This window comes from Homo sapiens, chromosome 2 (genome assembly GCF_000001405.40).
Source record: "Homo sapiens chromosome 2, GRCh38.p14 Primary Assembly".
Lineage (NCBI taxonomy): Eukaryota > Metazoa > Chordata > Mammalia > Primates > Hominidae > Homo > Homo sapiens.
The window spans coordinates 135,128,224-135,146,611 of record NC_000002.12 but is presented as its reverse complement, the minus strand read 5'-3'; the positions used below and the strand labels follow the sequence as shown (position 1 = coordinate 135,146,611).

Genomic DNA, 18,388 nt, shown 5'->3' with positions numbered 1-18,388 from the left:
ATATTAATCCAGTTCTGCTACATCCTAAAACCCAGGTCTATACAAGACCTCAATACCAACTGCATTCGCCATAGCAAGATTAGAACAAATATTCATTTGGAGTCAGGGGCGGTGGCTCAAGCCTGTAATCCCAGCAGTTTGGGAGGCCTAGGCGAGCAGATCACTTGAGGTCAGGAGTTCAAGACCAGCCTGACCAAAATGGTGAAATCCCATTTCTATTAAAAATACAAAAATTAGTCAGGCTTAGTGGCGGGCACCTGTAATCCCAGCTACTCAGGAGGCTGAGGCACAAGAATCACTTGAACTCAGCAGGCAGAAGTTGCAGTGAGACAAGATCATGATCGCACCACTGCACTCCAGCCCTGGGTGACAGAGCAAGACCTTGTCTCAAAAAAAAAAAAAAAAAAAAAAAGAACAAATATGCACTTATACACTTGGTTTCTAGCATTAAAAGATTCTGTTCTAATACTAAAATTTAATCATGAGAAACCTAAACTCTGACTTACTTTTAAAAAGGTATAATAAAGCAAATAGCATATGGGCTATCAAAAACAAAACAAAAACCAAAGCTAGTAAATTATGCCTGGTAAATAAAGAATATAGGCATGGATAATAAAGTTAACAGAATCCATGTTTCAAATTATTATTTATTTCACTATACCTGGTACTTTATTAAAATTCATGACTATTAAAGCATATTATCACATACCACACAAAATCCAAGTTGAGGGCTAGAACAGAAAGCACACAACTCCTTGTACAAATATTATAATTCATCAACCCATTTCAGAATATAAAGACTAGTTGCAAAAACTAAGTAATCCTTGCATCTTGACGGGCAATAATAGCCACTTATATAAGAAAATGTTCCAGAAGAATAATAGCTAAAATTTAAGTGTTTATTTTGAATTAGACATTATGTTAATCACTCATCAGGTACTATTTCATTTAAATGATGTTAAGAAGTACTATGAACTTATAGTTGAAAAAACTAAGGCAAAGAAAGATTAAATAATGACCCCAATCCATACATATGCTAAATGGTAGAAATGGAATTTGAACTCAGGCAATCTAACTCCACTGACAGTATTCCTAACTATCATGCTGTGACTCCTTATAGGTTTGGTAGGCTTAAAGCAAACGAAATAAAAACTACATAAAATTAGAATAATTACTAGAGGTTAAGAAGTGTGTGTGTGTGTGTGTGTGTGTATGTGTGTGTGTGTTGGTGAGGGGTGGTATGAAGAGAGGTTAGCTAATGGATACAAACAGATAGAAGGAATAAGTTCTAATGTTCAATAGTAAAGTAGGGTAACTATGGTTAACAACAATGTATTGTGTGTTGCAAAATAACTTAGGAGAAAAAATTTGAAATGTTCCTAACTCATAAAAATGATAAATAAGTGACAGATTTATCAATCACCTATCAAGGCGATTGATACTCCAAACACCCTGACTTGATCATTACGCTTTCTATGCATGTAACAAAATAGCATATGTACCCCATAAAAATGTACAAATATTATGTACCAATAAGCAAATTTTAAAGAATAAATACCAAAAATATTAAGCAAAACTCTGTTAGTATTGACTTAGCAAATGGCAAATAAACCACTGTTACTCTACAATAGCACATTTTCTAAAAGAAAGTTCAGGATAATAACTTTATTTCATCAACAGTAATTTGTCAGTACAACCATCTTGTGTGCAATGGCAAATTAAGACTCTGTAAGAGGAAACTGGAAAGTTCAGAGGCAAGAGAGAATACCGCATTTACAACACAAGAACCATTTTCTTTACAAGAAAAGAATCATTTTTAGGACTTGGAAATGAAAGTGTGATAAATCCCCCAAAACAAGGAAACACAAAACACAAATGGCAAATGGAATAAACAAAAGTTGTCAAAAGATTCTCCCATAATGCTACTGACAGTGGCAGCAAAAAGTCAAATGCCTAGGCAGGTAAGAGGCAGGTCCTCAGTGAAATCTGACCTTCAAACAAAGATAGTTGAAAGCCTGAAAGCCATGGTACAAGTTCTGGGTAAATCCACAGACTGGATTGAGAAACTCTCTTCCTACTTGGCATGCTTTCCTCTGAGTAATCCTCACCCTTCACCTATTTACATACACCTATCCTTCCCTACTTGGTTTTATACATTGTCATGCCCCCCTTTGAGTGGTGCCTTTGTTTTAGCCCATTTTGCGTACTCGCAAACCAATCAGCAAGCACTCCCCATTCTGAGCCCATAAAAGCTCTGGACCCAGCCATACTTAGAGAGAAACCACCCGACTTCAGGTGGGAGACCACCCTCGCAGCCCCTTTTGGCTGAGAGCTGTTTCTGTCACTCAATAAAATTCTTCTCCACCTTCCTTACCCTTTGATTGTCAACGTAAATTCATTCTTCTTGGATGTGGGACAAGAACTCGGGACCCACTGAATGTGGGTACAAGCTGTAACACAAGTGGGTTAGGGCACGCTTGAGTTAGGGCATGCTCAGCCCAGCTGAGAGCTAAGCTGGTGCACAAGCCTGGCGGACAGAGCACCTCCTGCGGCAGGCCCAGGGCTGAGTGAGGCCTGGGCAGAAGCATTGCCAGCCACAGAGGGCCCCAGCGGGCAAAGTGGCCAAGAAAATTCCTGTGTCACTATGCAAAAAGATAAAATGTATGAACAAACAGTGAAGAGGCAAGAGTTAAGAGAACATATTCAGGAATTATGACATCTGAGTCCCAAATTAAGGAGACTGCTTAAAATGTAACATGTTAGGGCCGGACACAGTGGCTCACGCCTGTAATCCCAGCACTTTGGGAGGCCGAGGCGGGCGGGTCAGGAGATCGAGACCATCCTGGCTAACATGGTGAAACCCCGTCTCTACTAAAAATACAAAAAATTAGCCAGGCGTGGTGGTGGGCACCTGTAGTCCCAGCTACTCAGGAGGCTGAGGCAGGACAATGGCATGAACCTGGGAAGCGGAGCTTGCAGTGAGCCGAGATCGCACCACTGCACTCCAGCCTGGGGGACAGAGCAAGACTCCGTCTCAAAAAAAAAAAAAAAAAAAGTAGCATGTTACAGAAGAAAGGTTGAATATCAATTACCTATGCTGCTAATAAAACAAGTTAGAAAAATAGCAGATTAGTTCTAAGGAAAGTAGAAGCAAAGAAATAATAGAAGAAATCAATGAAATAGAAAACAAAATCAACAGAGAAAAATCAACAAAACCCAAAGTTGTTTTTTCAGGGGAAAGATTCATAAAATTAATAAAACCCTCTTATAGATCAGGAACAAAAGAGATAATATACCAAATGCCAATTTTAAAAATTAAAACTGCAATATCATTATAGATTCTATAATCACTAAAAAGATTATAAAAGAATACTATGAAATAATTTATGCCAGTAAATATAAAATTTAGAAAAATAAAAAATTACTTGAAAAACACTATTTGCCAAAGTTGATACAAGAAATAAAAAATAAGAATAGTTTTTTATCTATTAAAGAAATCTAATTTAAAAGTAAGTCTATATTTGAAAATATTTCTACAAACAAAACTTCAGATTCTGAGTGGTTTCACTGGTGAATATGTTCAACATTTGAAGAAGAAGTAAAATCTTATTTATACAAATTTGTCCAGAGAAGAGAAAAAGAGGGGACACTTCCCTGACAAGGACAACATAATAAAGGTCAATACCTCTGACATATGAATATAAAAATCCTAAAAAAAAAAAAAATAAACTCCAGCTGTATAAAAAGGGAAAGCCCAAGTGGGATATATACCAGGAATGTAAGGATGTTTTAATACTCAAAAATCAATCAATGCAATTAACCACATTAATGGAATAAGGGAGAATAAAATAGGATTACCTTAATATACAGGAAAACATTTGATAAAATGCAATACCTGTTCATGATTAAAAAAAAAACAAAAAACAAAACTCTAAGCAAACTAGGAATGGAACTTCCTTAATATGATAAGTGATATCTACATCAGGTGCCTTCAATGACTATCATATGCTTTCTTTCTGAGGTTGGGAACAAGAGAATAATGTCCAGTATTCAACACTGTACTGGAGGTCCTAGCCACTGCAATAAGATAAGAAAAGTAATTCAAAAGCATAAAGATTGCAAAATCAGAATTCAAATCATCTTTACTAAAAGACGACATGATTGTGTATGTAGAAAACTCCAAATAATCTCTAAACTACTAATAAGTCAATGTAGCAAGATTGTTATATCCAAGGTCAATATATAAAAATCAACTGTTTATATCTATCAAGGGAAAAAAATTGGAAAATGAACTTTTAAAATACCATTTATAAAACCATTTAAGAAATTACAAATACCTTGGAAATATATCTAATGAAAGATATGTAAGACCTCTACATTGAAAACTAAAACACTAATGAGATAAATGAACAGAAACTTTAAATAAAATTGAAGATATTTAATGGACTCAATATTAAGATGTCAATTCTCCATAAATTGATCTACAAATTCAATGCAATCTGAATTAAAATCCCAGCAAGATTTTGAATATGTGTTTGTTTATAAAAATTAACAAGCTGATTCTCAAATTGATATAACAATGCAAAGGACCTAGAATAGCTAAGATAATGTTGAAGAGTAACAAAGTTAGAAGATTTACACTACCAGATAGACTTATTATAAAGCTACAATAATGATGACAGTACATTACTGGCACACGACAGAGACCAACGGAACAGAATAAATAGTCCAGAAATAGACCAAAACACATACAGTTGCTTGATTTACATCAAAGATATCACTGCCACTCAATGGGAAAAGGCAGATCTTTTCAACAGTGGTGGTGGAACAATTCAATCTCCCTATAGAGAAAAGAGAATCTTAACCTGTTCCTCTTACCAAACAATTAATTTGAGGTGGGTCACAAACAAATGATATAGGTAAAACAATAAAGCTTCCAAAAGAAAAGAAAATATCTTCAGTACTTGGTAAAGAGTTCTTAAGCAGAACACAAAAAGCACTAACCACATAAGAAAAACAAGGATAGATGAGACTGTATTAAAATTAAGAACACCTCTTCAACCCAAGGCATCATTAAGAAAGTGAACAGGCCAGGCGCGGTGGCTCACACCTATAATCCCAGCACTTTGGGAGGCCCAGACAGGCAGATCACGAGGTCAGGAGTTCGAGACCAGCCTGGCCAACATAGTGAAACCCCATCTCTACTAAAAATACAAAAAATTAGCCAGGTATGGTGGCACACTCCTGTAGTCCCAGCTACTCGGGAGGCTGAGGCAGGAGAATCGCTTGAACCCGGAAGACTCAGGCTGCAGTGAGCCGAGACCACACCACTGCACTCCAGCCTGGATGACAGAGTGAGACTGTCTCAAAAAAAAAAAAAAAAGAAGTAAGTGAATAGATAAGCAACAAAATATTTGCAATACAAGTATCTAAGGACTCATATCCAGAATATATGAAGAATTCCTATAAAGTAATAAGAAAAAAAAAGACAACTGCTTTAAGAAAAAAATAGGCAAAGGCCTTGAACAGGCTTTTCACCAAGAAGATAGACAAATGGGCAATAAATATATATATGCTTCAGGAAAATGTAAAACCACAAGATCCTACCTCCTACCCTTCAGAAAGGCAAAAATTAAAATGACCAAAAATATCAAGTGTGCAGAAAAGAGTTAATATTGCAGGTCTGAGACTGCCATTCTTAGAAAGGCCTGCTTGAAAGTTGGCCCTTGGCTGGCAGCTGAGAACCTGGATTTTGAGAAGGTTCCCACCATTCCCAGAACTGATAAAAATGACTCACTATGCCTAAACACTTTGTGCAAATAATATGGTTTATGCTAAACACCTACTTTCTTTATGGGAGTCTAGATTTTGGTATGGTTAACCCTATGCCTAAGCAAAGGATGCCTACTTGACCAGCCCCTACTGATAACTCCCACTGCTGTGCCTCTAACAAGCTTCCCAGGGAAGACAACATTTCACACATGTGGTCACAATTTGTTGCAACAGGAATTAAGTGCACTCTGTGTAACTACAGTAGGGGAAGCTTTTTGGAAGCTTAAACCTCATCTCTTTCAAACTTCATCCCATGTGCCTTTTCTCTTTGCTGATCTTCTTGTAATAAATTATAGCCACGAGCATGATTATGGGCTAAGTCTTATGAGTCTTCCTAGAAAATCACTAAACCTGGGAGTGGTCTTGAGAACACATCAAATGGGGAGGATTCTGTAGAATAACTATACTACTATAAATTGTTGGTGAGAAGGTTAACTAGTTCAACCACTTAGACAGACTATTTAGATAGATCTACTAAAGCCAAAACATATTTGCACCATATAGCCCAATAACTCTACTCTTAGGAATATATCCAAAAGAAAATGAGTGCCTTTGTCTACCAAAAGAAACAAGAATGTTCACAGCAGCTTTATTCATATTAGCCCAAAGTGAAAACAACCCAAATACCCATCAACGGGTGAATGGATAAACAAATTGTGACAAATTCATAGAATAGAATACTAATAACACATGCACAAACACTGAAGCCTGCAACAACAAGGATGACTCTCAAAATCGGTAAATAAAAAAGCTCAATGGTATATAATGTATGATTATACAACGAAAGAGTACACAATGTATGATTACATTTATATACAAAAGAGTAAGCAAAGCATGCCATTTAAAAGGTTCAAAAACTGACAAAGCTAACCTATGGTGACAAAAGTTAAGAGAAAGAGTTGCTGGAGGGGAATCCTGGGCTTCACTATCCAATACATCTGGCTATTTAATTTAAATAAATTAAAATTAAAAATTTAATTCCTTAGAAACATTAGCCACATTTCAAGCACTCAGTAGTTACATTTGGATAATGGCTATTGTATTGAATGGGAAAGACAGAGAATGTAGAGAATTTCCATCTTCACAGAAAGTTTTATTTATCAGCACTGTTCTAGGATGATGGGAATTTTCTGTATCTTGATCTGGGAAGTAGTTATATGCATGTATCAATATGAAAAAATTCACCAAGCAGTATACTAAAGATTTGTGCACTTTTTATTTTTTTTTTTTTTAATTTTTGAGACAGGGTCTTGCTCTGTTGCCCAGGCTGGAGTGCAATGGTGCAATCATAGTTCACTGCAACCTCTGCCTCCCGGACCCAAGCCATCCTCCCACCTGAGCCTCCCAAGTAGCTGGGTCTACAGCCATACACCACCACGCTCGGCTAATTTCTGTATTTTTTGTAGAGACGGGGTTTTGTCATGTTCCTCAGGCTGGTCTTGAACTTTTGAGCTTAAGCAATCTGCCCACCTTGGCCTCCCAAAGTGCTGGGATTACAGGCATGAGCTACCATGCCCAGCCAAGATCTGTACACTTTATTGTATTAAGTTATAACTCAATAATTAAGTAAATACATGAACATATGTTTTTAAAATGACTAGCAGAAAACATATACAATATATATAACTGTAGATTCACATCTAAAATATGAAGAATTCATATGAATCAATAAGAACAGGGGAGCAACCTAAAAGAAAAATCATAGGCGATTCACAGGAAAGGACGGCTAACGAACATATTAAAAGATGCTCAGGTTCATGAAAATTCAGAAAAATACAATCTAAAACACTGAGATACTACTTTTGACCATCATGTTAACAAAAATTTATATGGTTGGTAATACCAATTGTTTATAAGAAATTGAGGCTGGGCACAGTGGCTCATGCCTATAATCCCAGCACTTTGGGAGGCCGAAACAGAGGATTGCTTGAGGTCAGGAGTTTAGGACCAGCTTGGGCAACATAGCAAGACTCCATCTTTACAAAAATTTTAAAAGTGAAAAAATCAGCCTGGCATGGTGGTGAGCACTTGTAGTCCCAGCTACCTAGGAGGCTAAGGTCAGAGGATCACTTGAGCCCAGCAAGTCAAGGCTGCAGTGAGCCATGATCATGCCACTGCATTCCAGCCTATGCAACAGAATGAGATCCTGTCTCCAAAAAAAAAAAAAAATCCATAAAACCATGTATTAATATGTACACACATATATGTATTATACATCAATGCAGAGAAACAGTTATAAGAAATATAACCCAAACCAATAATACTTGTTAGTTACTTCAAGGAATGCAAGTCAAAATTAGTGGATGGTGGCTTTCACTTTTTATTTTTTTGAGACAGGGTCTTGCTCTGTTGCCCAGGCTGGAGAACAGTGACACAATCATAGCTCACTGCAGCCTTAACCTCCCGGGCTCAATTGATTCTTCTACCTCAGCCTCCCGAGTAGCTGGGACTACAGGTGTACGCTACCCCAGTCGGCTAATTTTTTTTTTTTTTTTTTTGGTAGAAATAGGGTTTACCATGTTGCCCAGGCTGGTCTTGAATTCCTGGGCTCAAGCAATCCAACCCCACCTCGGCCTCCCAAAGTGTTGGGATTACAGGCGTTGAGCCTCTTTCATTTTTACTAGATTACAATTTTCACAATAGAATGTTTTCAGGCCGGGTGCAGTGGATCATGTCTGTAATCCTAGCACTTTGGGAGGCTGAGGCAGGCAGATGGCTTGAGTTCAGGAATTTAAGACAAGCCTGGACAACAGGGCAAAACCCCACCTCTATAAAAACCACGAAAAATTAGCCAGGCATGGTGGCATGCACCTGTAGTTCCAGCTACTTGAGAAGCTGCGGTGGGAGGATCACTTGATCCCAGGAGGTCAAGGCTGCAGTAAGCTACAGTCATGCCACTGCACTCCCACCTGGGTGACAAAGAGAGACTCTGTGTCAAAAAAAAAACAACAAAAAAAAAACAAAACAAAACCCTTAAAAACAACTATTGCTGCTGTTGTTGTTGAGTTATTGCTGTTCTACATCCTAATGGTGTATATGACTTCAAACTATTTTTGAACAGATAAAAGCTAATCATATAATTGAAGGATATTTACTTTTGTTCTCTCTATATATTTTTGGATTTTTTCTTTTTCTTTAAGTCAATAAATTTTTGTTCAAGTAATTCCATGTTGTGATTTCTTCCACTGTCCATCAAGGTCACTTCAGATCCTCTAAAGAGCTGGAGTCAAAAGATTTATCTTCAAGTTAGCCCTTTTTAATGAAACTGATGCTTATTTTAATCCAGCTGTCCTGTTAGCCCATAATTCTTTTATTTTGGCTTCTGTCATCTCCTTTTAATATGGATATACTGATGAAGACTTCAAAATTCACCAAGAATCTTTGGGATCTAACTTCTTCAACCAATTTACTTTAGGGTCCTTTTTACTGTAGGTGGTGGATCTGCCTGGTTCTCAATTTGACACCCTAAGCGATCATACTCAAGAATAGTACAGATGTGTGGAATACGCCAATACCTTTAACTACAGACATCATGTTCTCAAGATAAAAGCCTTTAAAACAAAAAGCCATCGTAGGTATCAAGTCAACATGAAATTGGAATGCAAAATTAATACTGCTGAGGATTTCCTTCATATCCCATGCTGTTTAACTATCTCTTCCACAGTCCTAGAATCAATCTTTTTTAATTAAGAGACAGGGTCTGTCTTTGTTACCCAGGCTGGAGTACAGTGGTGTCATCAAAGCTCAGTGCAGCCTCCAACTCCTGGGCTCAATACTCTTGCCTCAGCCTCCTCTTCCTGAGTAGCTGCAACTACAGACACATGCCCCAATACTCAGCTAATTTTTAAATTTTTGTGGAGATGAGGTGTTTGTTACTTTCTTATACAGGCTGGTCTTGAACTCCTGGCTTCAAGCAATACTCCCACCTTGGTGTGGGGCTTGCAGGCTTGAGCCATTGTGCCTGGTCTGGGACCAACCTTTATGGCTATCAATATTCCCATCAGTTAACTGTCTCAGGTATCATAATATCCCTTCTTATATGTATCAAAACTCATACTGAACAATGAGTTCTGGGTTGCAAAAGAGGATTTATTTTTTGCACCTATCCATAAGTCTTTGTCCACAAGTTAAACAAAAACATACATAAGTGCAGTTGGATTTTCTTTTTTAAACATCTGAGCATTCACTGCTCAGTTTATAAATCACCTTATATATGATGACGTGATCTACTTAAACTTCAAAACATTTCTCAATTACAGAAATGGCAAACCTAAAAGCCCCAAAAGTTTATTTAGATTTCTTTAATCTTTAAACATAGACTTTGTCCAATCTTTTAAAGGTCCTTGATTAAATCAAGACCACATTTATCTATGTCATTGGGAAATCCTTACCTTTAGTTTCTTTAAACAGTCTATATCTTTATCTTTAAACATAAACACTTTTTTTTTCTTTTGAGACAAGAGTCTTGCTCTGTTGCCCAGGCTGGAGTGCAGTGGTGCAATCTCGGCTCACTGCAACCTCCCACTGCTGGGTTCAAATGATTCTCCTGCCTCAGCCTCCCCAGTAGCTGGAACTACAGGTGTGCGCCACTGTGCCCAGCTAATTTTTGTACTTTTAGTAGAGACAGGGTTTCACCATGTTGGCCAGACTTATCTTGAACTCCTGACCTCAGGTGATCTGCCCACCTCAGCCTCCCAAAGTGCTGGGATTACAGGCGTAAGCCACCGCATCTGGCCTAAACATAGACTTTTTGGATAATTTTCCTTACTCAAAGCACTATCTTCTACTAGGATGAAGTTATATAAACCACAAAATAAATTAAAATGGAAAGAACTAGTGCATCCTACCTGGGTTACTGGAATGTAGAGAGGTTCTCCATTATGCAGCAGTGTAAGTTTCCCATGCTGATAGAGCCGTCCTTCCGGCCTTAAATTTGCCATCTCCTTAGGTCCTCCTTTCTTGCCACTCTCTTGTCCATTTCCTTTAAGTTCTTCAGTATCACTTAGGCATTCAAAAAATTCTTCTTCGCTGTCACTCCAGGAATCCCAAGATTTTCCTACCTCTCCCTTTTCCTTATCTGTTTCTTTTAGATTATCTGGCACCAACTGGTCTCCTGCTTTTCCAGCATCCCCTGGATATATATTAGTGACATCTGAAGCACTTGTCTTTTTCCCCTCATCACGTGCCTTCTTTCTTTCAATACAACAATTTAACATCTTAAGAAAAGAGAAATAACATTTATAGTTGAATTAGTTACAGAAAAATAAAAATCTACCTACTGCTTGAATATTTAATTTTCACTCTCCACTTCTCAGGACCTTGTGAATTGCAGTGACTACTGACTATAGGCAACCTACAGCAGCACCATGAGAACAGCATGTAACCCATTATTACATTTAGTATTAGAATAATCTGATTAAATCAAGACCACATTTATCCATGTCATTGAGAAATCTTTACCTGTAGTTTCTGATGCAGTAAACAACACCTCAGATCTGGGGGTCCACTTGCTAATCTATCAAATAAAGTAAGGAGAAAAGAAAGCTTAGTTTTAGTAAAATTGCTTCAGATATGATTATTTTCTATACTACCATAATTTTTAGCTATATTGATAAGAAATCAAAACTAGATTTCCACAGGTAAGGTAAGTGAATTCCAGAGGGGGAGCACATAGAATTAAAAGATGAAAATTTATTTTATACTCCTTGTCCACAAATCACCAATAGCAAATATAATAGATATTTCAAAACATAACAGCAAATTAGTGATAGTTTTCAGGCTAACAAAAACTCAAAATGAGAAAAAGCCCCTGAACCCACTCCAGGAAGTACTAGCATACAGTATTTCACACCATACAAAATAAATCAGTTTGTGTATTCAGTACTAAATTCTTACAGTGGATTCTCACTATAAAAACCAAGATCTCCACCTGTATTTCAATAGGACCTTGGACTGTCTCTAGTTCTAGGTTCCTCTAGACTACTAGGTTCCCAGCAATCAGCCAGAGGCACTCCCTCATATTCAACATGCTTCTGGGTCTGTAAAATGTTCCAGAGCGGACTGTCTAAAACCAAGAGAGAATCCAGCTAAGCAGAGATTGGCAAATGATATAAATGTTTTTGGATCAGTAATCATTTTATATTGCTCAAAATCATGATTCTCCTATCATAGCATGGGTAGATGAGCACTAAACTATGCAATATCAACCTATGTGCTAATGAAAATGTTCTGTTTGATTAAGTAAAATGTCAATTACAAAAAACAGGTTTATTACAAAAGACTTTGAAAATGCATAAAAGTATAAAGAACAAAATAAAAGTATAATTTCACACTGGGAAAAACTGATAGCATTTCACAGTATTTATAATATTTTTCCTGTACAAATATAGCAACATAATTAAAAGTACTTTGTATATGCATTAAAATATTCTACTTTATTAGAAACAATATGAACATCTGTTATTAAAGATTATTGGGGGAAAAACTGTAATCAATCTAATTTTCTATTGTAGAGATACAGTATAATTTATTTAACTATTCTTTTATGTTTGATATTTAGGTTTTGCCTTTTTTTCTATTATATTAATAAATTTGCTGCAGTGAACACCTCTGAACATAAATCATGTCTAAGCTTCTTGCCACTTTCTTAGGGCAGACTTCCTAGAAGGGGGAAAAAATAGGTCAAAAGTCAAATGTCTGCTAACAAACAAAATCGTATCCAAACAATTGAAAATTGAAATTATTACCCTGGAATCAGAAAGTTGTTTTCCCATCGGAAACGCATTTCAAGAACAAATTCCTGCCAGAGGTGTGCCACTCCTTTCAACCCTCCATGGTAAAAATTGATCATACAGAGACACAAAGCCAGTTTGTATGTTAAACTGTCAGATGGTGCAGACTTGAACTGATTGTAGAGATTCTAAATTTAACAAAATAGAAACAAAGCAAACTTGTTACCAAAATATTTTACACATATAACTGAAAAGGTCGTAGGGAGAGATTTTAATTGTAAAATTAACCTATCCCACCTAAACTAGGCATTATCAAATGTCTAATACACTACTGCATAAACTATTCTTAGGAAGTCCCACATTTTCAAGATTTCTACTAAGATTAAAAAAGATAAAGCTATAGTTTAATGAAGCTAAAGTTACAGCTTTCAATTTCTTCTGTGGAATATTTAGGAAGTATTCCAAATTTCATGTGTTGTTTTAAAAATCTTTTAATTACAAAAATGAGCACGTCTGAAAAAACAAAAATCATAACTATCTAAACTGAAAATGTAAAAAGCCTTTGCTTTTTTCTCTCACCTCATCAAATCTACTTCTCAACAATAACTACTGTAAAGGTTGATATATATCTACACTTGTCATTTAAATTCTTCAACTTCTTAATTTTTCAAAGACTAGACAAAGAGACCATGAAAATTTTACCTAATTTTACACATTTTACTTCATTAAAGAGTTGTCCATTCACTAACTAGTTTTAAAATATCAAAAAGAATCTGCTGAGAAACACAAATTTAATGATTTCACCAAAACTCTACAATGAGGGAAATCCTACAGCTGTGTAGAGTATATTTGTGCTATTTTTTCATTGTTTCCAGAAAAATTCTTGCTACCCAAAATATGTATCTGTGCTAGTTATCTAAGTGGAAACCACGATCTGCCATCCAAAATTCCCAAGGTGATTTTTAAAATAAAAATATAGTAAGCTATTAAACTAGAAATATATAGAACCTCTAGAAATTCAGTGCATTTAAAACATTTTAACATTGAACTCCACATCAACTTACATAGTCTTCACTCTCTGATGGAGGATTATTATTATCTGTTGAAGTAGTTCCATCTAATGGTTTCTCAGAAACAGCATCAGGGAATAAGAACTTGAAGGAAAGGAAAAAAATAATCACATTTTAGACCACATTTCCTATTTTGTTGATTTTTATAACTCATATAGACATTATTTAACTTTTTAATGGTTTTGCTGCTCTAACAATAGAAATGTTCCAGTTGTATTGGCCAGTTTGTTCTACACTCTCAAATTTTTTCTATTTTTCTTTGAAAATATACAAGGTTTCAGTGACTAGCCAATTTTAGAAATTAGAATTTTTTTCTTAAAAGTAATCACTTGATTCTGTAAGCTGAAAGGTGCAAAAGCAAAATCTCATCACTGTGACTTCATGCTCACCCAAGGCCATTACATTTTTTTAGTGTTACTACTATCTAAAAAACAAAACCACAAAAGACAATTTAAAAACACTCATGTACTCATGAGGATCTGAAGAGTTACATCATCCACAGGCTTTCATATATAGACTACTAAGAGATGATATTCAAGACCCACAGCTTTATTTTATGATACCCCTGGAAAGTAGGAAGCAGTCTAAACCTATAATAACCAATGTACCTTTTCCATGTGGTTTCTGTTTATATGTACATGTACGAGTGGTCAAAAAAAAATCCAGTGTACATGACAACTGAGCTACATGATTTGAATAACATTCTTTTAAGAATACAGTCTTAAGAAGGAGGCTCTCTATAGACATTTATTTACAGTCCTTTTATCACTGTTCCTCTCAATTGTTTTGTGGTACTGCTGATTAGTAATCCCTCTTACTATGTATACTTTGCCACACATTATAGAACATGTCCAATAGACTTTTAAAAATTAGATGAACTACTATGTGCCAAGTGCCATAAGGCACAATTACCAGCATTATCCTATTCTCATACAACTGTTTGAGCTAAGTATCACTACCTACATCTTACGATGTACAAGCTAAAAAGTTGGCTAAGAGTTTTGTTCAGATAAATGGCAGGGGATAAGATTAACATTAAGTTTCCAGTTTTCTTTTCAACACTTTTCTTGAAGGTTTTTCCCAAGATTGTCTTAATGCACAAATTTCCGGGAGTATGATTTTAACCACAATTACAGTTAAGAATAGCTATCATTTATCAAAGACCCATATATGCCAGGCAGTGTCACAGAAGATCCTTTAATCCTCACAACAATCTCGCAAGGTTTTGTTAGCCATATTTTCTAGATGAGGAAACTGAAGTGACTTATTCAAAGTCATGCAGTAAGTCATGCAGACATTAAACCATGGTGTGGATGGCCCCCAGGCTGGGGCCATTCCACTCTGTTATACCTAGGAGCCACCTTAGCTCTCTATTCATCTCCCTCTCATTCTCACTAAAAGCTTTCTCTCAACTGTTGTCAAAGCAATCCTTCAAAAATATACTTCCGGGGCCAGGTGCGGTGGCTCACGCCTGTAATCCCAGCAGTTTGGGAGGCCGAGGCGGGCGGATTACGAGGTCAGGAGATCGAGACCATCCTGGCTAACACGGTGAAACCCTATCTCTACTAAAAAAAAATACAAAAAAATTAGCCAGGCATGGTGGCACGTGACTGTAGTCCCAGCTACTAGGGAGGCTGAGGCAGGAGAATTGCTTGAACCCAGGAGGTGGAGGTTGCAGTGAGCCGAGATGCACCACTGCACTCCAGTCTGGGTGACAGAGCGAGACTTCGTCTCAAAAAAAATAAATAAATAAAATAAAAAATAAAAAAATTCTAATCATGTTGATCTTCTACTTAAACTGCAAGATAAAAGCCAGTGCTTCAGCATGGCAGGTTACCTGCTACTTCTCCAGCCTCAACCCTGGTCATGGTCTGGGAAGCACCCTACAAAATATCAACCGTTCAACATGCTCTCGAACCTCTGCTATTCCTCTGCTTCTAAAGCCTTCTTTTCATCAAGATTCAGCTCAAATGTCCCTCTTCATGAAGCCTTCCCTGATTCCCACTGCCCAGACAGAGACAAATGCACCCCTGCTGTGCTCTCACAGCCCCCTTGCCAGATTTCTCACATGCAACATGGTATCACAACTACTATTTACTTTCCTTCTCACCACTAAACTAGTAGGAATTTTCTAAATGTGGTAACTGTTTTACTCATTGTATATTCCAAGGTCACTGCCTACCACATAAAAGGAACTGGCTATATAATGAATAAATGATTCTGCATATAGACCTATAAAGACAGAACATTTAGTTACCAGGAGAATAGTATTAAGAACATCATTATTTAGCGGTGACTCCTCTACACCTCTGTGTTTTCGGATTTTCTTCTTTGCAGTGTGTACCATATTTGAAACTGATAATTTATGAATTGGAACTGATGCCGGCTCTGTCAATTTTGACAAAGCATGAGTTATATCAGCAGTTTCTATAAAAAGAACAGAAATAAATATAAATTATATCACCAACCTCAGCAGGTGAAAGTGATGAACAAATTGATGATTATATAGAATATTTTACTCATTCTTTTTACTAGTGTTACATGGTCTTGGAATTATAAAATATTAATATACATGTTCAGCTTTATGTGCAAGCATGAGTGACAATGGTGTCACACAAATTATTTCTCCCTAGGAGACTTCAAAATTTAACCTCTAAAACTCTGCTTTTCAAAATATTTTACATTTTTGGTGGAAAGAACTTATTAAATGCCTTTAATGTCTTAACAAGCACTGGGTACAGCCTGGAAAGGAACTGTAGCTGTCTAGTCCATCAAAACTTGATTATCCAACTTAATTCAAAATGAGAAAACAGATGAAAAGTTGCTGAAAAATGTGCCAAGGAAAAACAGTAAGACATTTGAAAGTAATGTTAAAAAAAAATGTAGGTTACCTTTGCCTTCTTCCTCAAATGCAGATCGTCCAAGAATCTCATCAGTTGACTCCTTTCGACGGCAAATTTTAAAAAATTCAGTGACAAAATCACCTATGTAGGAAAAAAAGTTATTTTTGACACTTAACTGAAAAAAAAAAAAATCAGTCCTATAAATTAAAGTACATCTTTCCACAAAAGCTATTAACTAAGATATGGTAGAAAGTAAAACCATTCAGTTTTTCCATTGAAAAAAACAAAAATTAATCCTATATCAAAGGTAGCCTTGTTCTTTTCTTTCTCTCCATGTCCCAGGATATTTAAAAAGCTTTTCCTTAGAATTCCATCTAGAAGGAAAGAAAAAAATAACTGTACCTAATAGTACTTACTATATGCCTCAATGAGACACAGTATCCATTTGTCATTAAGTTATGTAAGTAACAAGAACTTACTCTAAGTATGTAGTAATCTTTCCCCAACTGCTACACTACTAGAATCTAAATCCATTAATAAAATTAAGAAGAAACGCTAAAGACATGTTTCTAGAAGATTAGGAAATCATGTAGGATAAAGATATTTCAGTTTCTGCTACATATTAATGGTATTCTTTCCGTCATTATTACTATTATTTTTTATTTATTTTATTTTTTTTTTTTTGAGACAGAGTCTCGCTCTGTCGCCCAGGCTGGAGTGCAGTGGCGCAATCTCGGCTCACTGCAAGCTCCACCTCCCAGGTTCACGCCATTCTCCTGCCTCAGCCTCCCAAGTAGCTGGGACTACAGGCACCCACAACCACGCCTGGCTAATTTTTTGTATTTTTAGTAGAGACGGGGTTTCACTGTGTTAGCCAGGATGGTCTCGATCTCCTGACCTCATGGTCCGCCCGCCTCTGCCTCCCAAAGTGCTGGGATTACAAGTGTGAGTCACCGCGCCCGGCCCATTATTACTATTATTTTTGAGACAGGGTCTTACTCTGTCGCCCAAGCTGGAGTGCAGTGGCACGATCATGGCTCACTGCAGCCTTGACCTCCTAGGCTCAGGTGATCCTCCCACCTCAGCCTCCTGGGTAGGCTGGGACTACATGTGTGCATCACCATGCCCAGCTAATTTTTGTATTTTTTGTAGAGACGAGGTTTTGCCATGTTGCCAAGGCTGGACTCAAACTCCCGGGCTCAAGCAATCCACCTGCCTCGACCTCTCAAAATGCTGGGATTATAGGCATGAGCCATTGCACCCAGCTGTCTGTCATATTATAAACAGAGGTAAAGCGATTTGAATCTTCTGAACAGCTACAATGTTTACACAAATAAATGAATGCTTAACAAATACTATCAGTACTAAGATACATCAAGTACATCTAAATTTTATAATTCACCAACTAATTCTGAATTAACCCATAACTTTTTTGAGGCTTCTTCAGAAAGGTAGGAAAAGTCTATAATCTAGTCATACAAAATATTAAAAGAGGTAGGGTAAGATCATGGAACGTTAAACTAAAATGAGAATACTTTCAATTCTAAGGTCCTCAGCAATTACCATACAGTAACAAGATGAGGAATAATAATGTTACTAAGAAGCAACTTAGTACGTAAACATAATATGTAGTAATTCAACGATTAAACAACAGAAACCATTTACTGTTCATTTACTATAACAAAGGCACTGTTAAAAGTGATATATACACATACATACAGGTACATAATCTCATTTGATCCTCCCAATAACCCTATGAAGTAAGTACTAGTGTTATCTCTATTTTATTTATGAGGACTCTGGGGCTTAAAAAGATTAAGAAACTTGACCAACCTGGTGAATCCAGGATTTGAACTGAGGTCTGTCCAACTGTAATACTCTTGACATTGACCCTATACTGTTGCCCTAACAC

At 36.6% G+C, this 18,388-nt stretch overlaps 1 protein-coding gene and 1 non-coding gene across 7 annotated transcripts in view; both read right to left on the bottom strand.

Moving 5' to 3' along the window:
* RAB3GAP1 (RAB3 GTPase activating protein catalytic subunit 1) overlaps window positions 1–18,388 on the bottom strand; it is a 124,105-nt gene that overhangs the window by 29,785 nt on the left and 75,932 nt on the right. For all 6 annotated transcript variants that reach the window (XR_001738674.3, XM_011510823.4, NM_001172435.2 and 3 more), the window contains 6 exons: window positions 16,525–16,617; window positions 15,891–16,060; window positions 13,628–13,717; window positions 12,579–12,751; window positions 11,293–11,347; window positions 10,680–11,048 (listed from right to left, as the gene is read on the bottom strand). Coding sequence is in view for 5 of the 6 variants with exons in the window: in XM_011510823.4 (XP_011509125.1) it covers window positions 10,680–11,048; window positions 11,293–11,347; window positions 12,579–12,751; window positions 13,628–13,717; window positions 15,891–16,060; window positions 16,525–16,617 (950 nt within the window). In the remaining variant the exon portion in view is untranslated. The remainder of the gene's footprint in view (window positions 1–10,679; window positions 11,049–11,292; window positions 11,348–12,578; window positions 12,752–13,627; window positions 13,718–15,890; window positions 16,061–16,524; window positions 16,618–18,388) is intronic.
* On the bottom strand, window positions 9,857–9,984 carry SNORA40B (small nucleolar RNA, H/ACA box 40B). The gene has a single exon (NR_145723.1). It is a non-coding gene; the product is annotated as a small nucleolar RNA, H/ACA box 40B (small nucleolar RNA).